Below are 9,200 nucleotides of genomic sequence, written 5' to 3'. Positions count from 1 at the left end.
AGAGGCTTCCCACTCTCCAGTGCCTGCTCCAGAGAATTGGCAGGAAGGCAAGTGCTGCATCCTGTCGGTTTTGCCAAACCTCCTGGAGTGGGAACCATTACAATGACACATCTAAGTCCAGGTGTCCTTGCAGATGACATCCACACAGCACGTTCTTGCTCCCTGCCCGTACCTGACAGGCATAAGTTTTTGCTGTAACTGCTTAATCTCCAGGCACTGTCAAGTGGGGATTTCAGCTGCTTCCTTTTGAAAGAGACTTAATTGTTGCTGCTACCTGAGTGTCAAGTGCATCTCCCTGAGCTGAAGGGATATGGGGGAAACTGCACTTGTTCAAACATAAAACAGGTTCCAGGCAAGTGAGGTGTCTCAACAGGGTCTCGGCAGTCAGAAAGGCAGTTTTTATAGTCCCCTCCAAGGGATGAAGTGGGCCCCCAACTTGGGTTCTGGATGCCAGGAATTTCAAGGAAAATGCTAGCAGGGATCTGGGGAAGATTACCAGAGACCAGAAGTCAAGAAACCTGAGTTCCAGTTCTGCCTCCATTTCCTACATGGCTATGTAACCTTGAATGAGTCACTGAAATCTCTGCAAAGGTGTGTCATCTATAAAATTAAGATAAGAGGTGGCAGCCAAGATGACCGAATAGGAACAGCTCTGGTCTACAGCTCCCAGCGTGAGTGACGCAGAAGACGGGTGATTTCTGCATTTCCATCTGAGGTACCGGGTTCATCTCACTAGGGAGTGCCAGACAGTGGGCGCAGGGCAGTGGGTGAAGCACACCATGTGTGACCCGAAGCAGGGCGAGGCATTGCCTCACTCGGGAAGCACAAGGGGTCAGGGAGTTCCCTTTCCTAGTCAAAGAAAGGGGTGACAGATGGCACCTGGCAAATCAGGTCACTCCCACCCTAATACTGTGCTTTTCCAATGGGCTTAAAAAACGGTGCACCAGGAGATTATATCCCGCACGTGGCTCAGAGGGTCCTACACCCACGGAGTCTCACTGACTGCTAGCACAGCAGTCTGAGATCAAACTGCAAGGCGGCAGCGAGGCTGGGGGAGGGGCGCCCACCATTGCCCAGGCTTGCTTAGGTAAACAAAGCAGCAAGAAGCTTGAACTGGGTGGAGCCCACCACAGCTCAAGGAGGCCGGCCTGCCTCTGTAGGCTCCACCTCTGGGGGCAGGGCACAGACAAACAAAAAGACAGCAGTAACCTCTGCAGGCTTAAATGTCCCTATCTGACAGCGTTGAAGAGAGCAGTGGTTCTCCCAGCATGCAGCTGGAATCCGCCCGCTCCTATTCAACATAGTGTTGGAAGTTCTGGCCAGGGCAATCAGGCAGGAGAAGGAAATAAAGGGTATTCAATTAGGAAAAGAGGAAGTCAAATTGTCCCTGTTTGCAAATGACGTGATTATATATTTAGAAAACTCCATCGTCTCAGCCCAAAATCTCCTTAAGCTGATAAGCAACTTCAGCAAAGTCTCAGGATACAAAGTCAATGTGCAAAAATCACAAGCATTCTGATACACCAATAACAGACAAACAGAGAGCCAAATCATGAGTGAACTCCCATTCACAATTGCTTCAAAGAGAATAAAATACCTAGGAATCCAATTTACAAGGGATGTGAAGGACCTCTTCAAGGAGAAACACAAACCACTGCTCAATGAAATAAAAGAGGATACAAAGAAATGGAAGAACATTCCATGCTCATGGGTAGGAAGAATCAATATCATGAAAATGGCCATACTGCCCAAGGTAATTTACAGATTCAATGCCATCCCCATCAAGCTACCAATGACTTTCTTCACAGAATTGGAAAAAACTACTTTAAAGTTCATATGGATCAAAAAAGAGCCTGCATCGCCAAGGCAATCCTAAGCCAAAAGAAGAAAGCTGGAGGCATCACGCTACCTGACTTCAAACTATACTTCAAGGCTACAGTAACCAAAACAGCATGGTACTGGTACCAAAACAGAGATATAGATCAATGGAACAGAACAGAGCCCTCAGAAATTATGCCACTTATCTACAACTATCTGATCTTTGACAAACCTGACAAAAACAAGCAATGGGGGAAGGATTCCCTATTTAATAAATGGTGCTGGGAAAACTGGCTAGCCATATGGAGAAAGCTGAAACTGGATCCCTTCCTTACACCTTAGACAAAAATTAATTCAAGATGGATTAAAGACTTAAATATGAGACCTAAAACCATAAAAACCCTAGAAGAAAACCTAGGCAATACCATTCAGGACATAGGCATGGGCAAGGACTTCATGTCTAAAACACCAAAAGCAATGGCAACAAAAGCCAAAATTGACAAATAGGATCTAATTAAACTAAAGAGCTTCTGCACAGCAAAACAAACTACCAACAGAGTGAACAAGAAACCCAAAAATGGGAGAAAATTTTCGCAACCTACTCATCTGACAAAGGGCTAATATCCAGAATCTACAATGAACTCAAACAAATTTACAAGAAAAAAAACAAACAACCCCATCAAAAAGTGGGTGAAGTATATGAACAGACACTTCTCAAAAGAAGACATTTATGCAGCCAAAAAACACATGAAAAAATGCTCACCATCACTGGCCATCAGAGAAAAGCAAATCAAAACCACAATGAGATACCATCTCACACCAGTTAGAATGGCAATCATTAAAAAGTCAGGAAACAACAGGTGCTGGAGAGGATGTGGAGAAATAGGAACACTTTTACACTGTTGCTGGGACTGTAAACTAGTTCAACCATTGTGGAAATCAGTGTGGTGATTCCTCAGGGATCTAGAACTAGAAATACCATTTGACCCAGCCATCCCATTACTGGGTATATACCCAAAGGACTATAAATCATGCTGCTATAAAGACACATGCATACGTATGTTTATTGCGGCACTATTCACAGTAGCAAAGACTTCGAACCAACCCAAATGTCCAACAGTGATAGACTGGATTAAGAAAATGTGACACATATACATCATGGAATACTATGCAGCCACAAAAAATGATGAGTTCATGTCCTTTGTAGGGACATGGATGAAATTGGAAATCATCATTCTCAGTAAACTATGGCAAGGACAAAAAACCAAACACCGCATGTTCTCACTCATAGGTGGGAATTGAACAATGAGAACACATGGACACAGGAAGGGGAACATCACACTCTGGGGACTGTTGTGGGGTTGGAGGAGGGGGGAGGGATAGCATTAGGAGATATACCTAATGCTAAATGACGAGTTAATGGCTGCAGCACACCAGCATGGCACATGTATACATATGTAACTAACCTGCACATTGTGCACATGTACCCTAAAACTTAAAGTATAATAATAATAAAATAAAAATAAATAAATAATAAAAAAATAAATAAATAAAATTAAATTAAGATAAGGGTACAAATCCCCATCCTGTGTATGGTGCAGGCTTCTTAGGGGGAAGAAAGAGTATTAAAACAGCTTATAGACACTAACATGGTTCTGAAAACATTAAGGTAAGCAAAAATTGGAAGCAATCCGGTAAGAGAAGAATACATAAGAGAAGGATGAATTGTGGTATATTCATATAATGAATACTATACAGAAATTTTGAAAGAACTGCTGTAACATAAAACTACATGGATAAATTTTATAGACAAAATAATGAATCATAGAAAGCCAGATACAAAAAATGACATATTTTATTATTCCATTTACATGAAGTTCAAGAACAAGAAAACTAATCTGTGGAGATAGATATCAGAATACTGGTTATGCAGGGTAGAGGTAAGAATTGACTGGGACAAGGCACAAGAGAACCTTCTGGGGTGTTGGAAATGTTCTATTTCTTGATCTAGGTAGTAGATACATGGACATTTACATGTGTAAAAATATATAGTTGTATATTTAATATCTGGGCACTATGGTGTAATACCTCAGTTTAAAAGAAAACTATAATTTAATACAATCCCATTTGTTTATTTTTGCTTTTTTTGCCTGTGTTTTTGAGGTCTTAATCATAAAATCCTTTCCCAAACCAATGTCCTGAAGCATTTTCCCTATGTTTTCTTCTATCAGCTTTATGTTCTTGGGTCTTACATTTAGGTCTTCAATTCATTTCAAGTTTACTTTTGCAGAGGGTGAGAGGTGGGAATCTAGTTTCAGTCTTCTGCATATGGATATCCAGTTTTCCCAGCACCATTTGTTGGAGAGCCTGTCCTTTTCTCAATGAGTGTCCTTGGCACCTTTTTCAAAAAATCAGTTGGCTGTAGACATGTAAATTAATTTCTGACTTCTCTGTTCTGTTTCATTGGTTTATGTGTCTGTTTTTATGCTGGTACCATGCTGTTCTGGTTACTATAGCTTTGTGGTGCATTGTGAAGTCGGGTAGTATAATTCCTCCAGCTTTGTTCTTTTTGCTCAGGATTGCTTTGGCTATTCAGGGTCGTTGTGGTTTCATACAAATTTTAGAATTTTTTTTTCTATTTCTGTGAAGAATGTCATTGGTATTTTGACAGGGATTGCACTGAACCTGTAGGTTGCTTTAGGTCGTATGCTCATTTTAACAATATTAATTCTTCCAATCTATGAGCATGGGATGTCTTTCCATTTGTTTGTATTCTCCTCAATTTATTTCACTTATGTTTTATAGTTTTTCTTGTAGAGGTTTTACATCTCCTGATTAAACTAACTTCTAGGTGTTTTTTGTTTGTTTTTTGTTTGTTTGGTTTGGTTTGGTTTTTGTAGCTATTGTAAATGCATTGTCTTGCTGATTTCTTTTTCAGCTAATTCATTCTTCAGATATAGAAATATTACTGATTTTTGTATATTGATTTTCTATCTTGCAACTTCACTGTATTAGTTTATCAATTCTAAACTTTTTTTGGTCTTTACAATGGACTACTATTCAGCCATTAAAAAGAATCAAATTCTATCATTCACGGCAACATGATTGGAACTGGAAGACATTATGTTAAGTGAAATGAGCCAGGAACAGAAAGTTAAACACCACATGTTCTCACTCAAATGCAGAAGCTAAAAAAAGTTGATTTCATAGAAGTAAAAAGTAGAACAGAGTACACTAGAGGCTGGGAAGGGTAGAGGAAACACAGGGATATGAAGAGATTTGCTAAGGAATACAAAACTACAGCTAGATAAGGAGGAATCAATTCCAGTGTTCTATACCTCTGTAGGATGACTATAGTTAAAAATAATGTATTATACAGTTTCAAATAGCTAGAAAAAGGTTACTGAATGTTTCCAACACAAATAAATGATCCATGTTTGATGTGATGGATAAGCTAATTACCCTGATCTGATCACTATACATTACATGTATTAAAACATCACTACGGGAGGTTCCAAGATGGCCAAATAGGAATACCTCCAGTCTACAGCTCCCAACATGAGCAACGCAGAAGACGGGTGATTTCTGCATTTCCAACTGAGGTACCAGGTTCATCTCACTGGGGTTTCTCAGACAATGGGTGCAGCCCACGGAGCATGAGCCAAAGCAGGGCGGGACATCGCCTCACCCAGGAAGTGCAAGGGGTCAGGGAATTCCCTTTCATAGCCAAAGGAAGTCATGACAGATGGTACCTGGAAAATCGGGAAACTCCCACCCTAATACTGTGCCTTTCCAACGGTCTTAGCAAATGGCACACCAGGAGATTATATCCTGTGCATGGCTTGCAGGGTCCCATACCCATGGAGCCCCACTCACTGCTAGCATAGCAGTCTGAGATCGAACTGCAAGGTGGCAGCAAGGCTGAGGGAGGGTTGTCTGCCATTGCTGAGGCTTGAGTAGGTAACCAAAGTAGCTGGGAAGCTCAAACTGCATGGAGCCCACCACAGCTCAAGGACACCTGCCTGCCTCTGTAGACTTCACCTCTGGGGGCAGGGCATAGCTGAAAAAAGGCAGCAGAAACTTCTACAGACTTAAACGTTCCTGTCTGACAGCTTTGAAGAGAGTAGTTGTTCTCCCAGCATGGAGTTTGAGATCTGAGAATGGACAGACTTCCTCCTCAAGTGGGTCCCTGACCCCTGAGTAGCCTAACTGAGAGACACCTCCCAGTAGGGGCCGACTGACACCTCATACAGCTGGCTGCCCCTCTGAGACGAAGCTTCCAAAGGAAGGATCAGGCAGCAACATTTGCAATTCTGCAATATTTGCTATACTGCAGCCTCTGCTGGTGATACCCAGGCAAACAGGGTCTGGAGTGGACCTCCAGCCAATTCCAACAGACCTGCAGCTGAGGGTCCTGACTGTTAGAAAGAAAAATAACAAACAGAAAGGACATCCACACCAAATACCCATCTGTATGTCACCATCATCGAAGACCAAAGGTAGATAAAACCACAAAGATGGGGAGAAACCAGAGCAGAAAAGCTGAAAATTCTAAAAATCAGAGTGCCTCTTCTCCTCCAAAGGAACACAGGTCCTCACCAGCAACAGAACAAAGCTGGATGGATAATGACTGACGAATTCAGAGAAGAAGGCTTCAAATGATTGGTAATAACAAACTTCTCTGAGCTAAAGGAGTATGTTCGAACCCATTGCAAAGAAGCTAAAAACCTTGAAAAAAGATTAGACGAACAGCTAACTAAATAAACAGTGTAGAGAAGACCTTAAATGGCCTGATGGAGCTGAAAACCACGGCAACAGAACTACATGATGCATGCATAAGCTTCAGTAGCCAATTTGATCAAGTGGAAGAAAGGGTATCAGTGATGGAAGATCGAATTAATGAAATGAAGCGAGAGGAGAAGTTTAGAGAAAAAAGAGTAAAAAGAAACTAACAAAGCCTCCAAGAAATATGTGACTATGTGAAAAGACCAAATCTATATCTGATTGGTGCACCTGAAAGTGACAGGGAGAATGGAACTAAGTTGGAAAACACTCTGCAGGATATTATCCAGGAGAACTTCCCCAACCTTGCAAGGCAGGCCAACATTCAAATTCAGAAAATACAGAGAACACCACAAAGATAGACCTCGAGAAGAGCAACTCCAAGACACATAATTGTCAGATTCACCAAAGTTAAAATGAACGAAAAAATGTTAAGGGCAGCCAGAGAGAAAGGTACGGTTACCCACAAAGGGAAGCCCATCAGACTAACAGCGGATGTCTCGGCAGAAATTCTGCAAGCCAGAAGAAAGTGGGGGCCAATATTCAACATTCTTAAAGAAAAGAATTTTCAACCCAGAAATTCATATCCAGCCAAACTAAGCTTCATAAGTGAAGCAGAAATAAAATCCTTTACAGACAAACAAATGCTGAGAGATTTTGTCACCACCAGGCCTGCCTTAAAAGAGCTCCCGCAGGAAGCATTAAACATGGAAAGGAACAACTGGTACCCGCCACTGCAAAAACATGCCAAATTGTAAAGACCGTCAATGCTAGGAAGAAACTGAATTAACTAACAAGTAAAATAACCAGCTAACATCATAATGACAGGATCAAATTCACACATAACAATATTAACCTTAAATGTAAATGGGCTAAATGCTCCAATTAAAAGACACAGACTGGCAAATTGGTTAAAGAGTCAAGACCAATCAGTGTGCTGTATTCAGGAAACCCATCTCACGTGCAGAGACACACATAGGCTCAAAATAAAGGGATAGAGGAAGATCTATCAAACAAATGGAAAACAAAAAGAAGCAGGGGTTGCAATCCTAGTCTCTGATAAAACAGACTTTAAACCAACAAAGATCAAAAGAGACAAAGAAGACCATTACATAATGGTAAAGGGATCAATTCAACAACAAGAGCTAACTATCCTAAATATATATGCACCCAATACAGGAGCATCCAGATTCATAAAGCAAGTCCTTAGAGACATACAAAGAGACTTAGACTCCCACACAATAATAATAGGAGACTTTAACACCCCACTGTCAACATTAGACAGATCAATGAGACAGAAGGTGAACAAGGATATCCAGGAATTGAACTCAGCTCTACACCAAGCGGACCTAATAGACATCTACAGAGCTCTCCACCCCAAATCAACAGAATATACATTCTTCTCAGCACTACATCACACTTATTCCAAAATTGACCACATAGTTGGAAGTAAAGCACTCCTCAGCAAATGTAAAAGAACAGAAATTATAACAAACTGTCTCTCAGACCACAGTGCAATCAAACTAGAACTCAGGATTAAGAAGCTCACTCAAAACCACTCAACAACATGGAAACTGAACAACATGCTCCTGAATGACTACTGGGTATATAATGAAATGAAGGCAGAAATAAAGATGTTCTTTGAAACCAATGAGAACAAAGACACAACATACCAGAATCTCTGGGACACATTTAAAGCAGTGTGTACAGGGAAATTTATAGCACTAAATGCCCACAAGAGAAAGCAGGAAAGATCTAAAATTGACACCCTAACATCACAATTATAAGAACTAGAGAAGCAAGAGCAAACAAACTGAAAATCTAGCAGAAGGCAAGAAATAACAAAGATCAGAGCAGAACTGAAGGAAATAGACACACAAAAAACCCTTCAAAAAATCAATGAATCTAAGAGCTTGTTTTTTGAAAAAATCAACAAAATTGATAGAGTGCTAGCAAGACTAATAAAGAAGAAAAGAGAGAAGAATCAAATAGACTCAATAAAAAAAATGATAAAGGGGATATCACCACTGATCCCACAGAAATACAAACTACCATCAGAGAATACTATAAACACCTCTATGCAAATAAACTAGAAAATCTAGAAGAAATGGAAAAATTCCTCGACACATACACCCTCCCAAGACTAAACCAGGTAGAAGTTGAATCCCTGAATAGACCAATAACAGGCTCTGAAATTGAGGCAATAATTAATAGCCTACCAATGAAAAAAAGTCCAGGACCAGACGGATTCACAGCCAAATTCTTCCAGAGGTACAAAGAGGAGCTGGTACCATTCCTTCTGAAACAATTCCAATCAATAGAAAAAGAGGGAATCCTCCCTAACTCATTTTATGAGGCCAGCATCATCCTGATACCAAAGCCTGGCAGAGACACAACAAAAAAAGAGAATTTTAGACCAATATCCCTGATGAACATCGATGCAAAAATCCTCAATAAAATACTGGCAAACCAAACACAGCAGCACATCAAAAAGTGTATCCACCACGATCGAGTTGGCTTCATCCCTGGGATGCAAGGCTGGTTCAACATACACAAATCAATAAATGTAATCCAGCATATAAACAGAACCAAACACAAAA

General features: G+C 40.7%; 1 annotated feature.

The window, feature by feature from the left end:
• Positions 520 to 1,019: an enhancer, noted in NCBI's record as "H3K4me1 hESC enhancer chr3:34131647-34132146 (GRCh37/hg19 assembly coordinates)". NCBI's record gives its function as "activates a minimal SCP1, AML or CMV promoter by ChIP-STARR-seq in primed H9 embryonic stem cells {active_cell/tissue: H9 hESC(primed)}" and the evidence as "EXISTENCE:reporter gene assay evidence [ECO:0000049][PMID:30033119]".

The sequence above is a fragment of the Homo sapiens genome, chromosome 3, assembly GCF_000001405.40.
Source record: "Homo sapiens chromosome 3, GRCh38.p14 Primary Assembly".
Lineage (NCBI taxonomy): Eukaryota > Metazoa > Chordata > Mammalia > Primates > Hominidae > Homo > Homo sapiens.
This window is presented reverse-complemented; position numbering and strand designations above follow the sequence as displayed.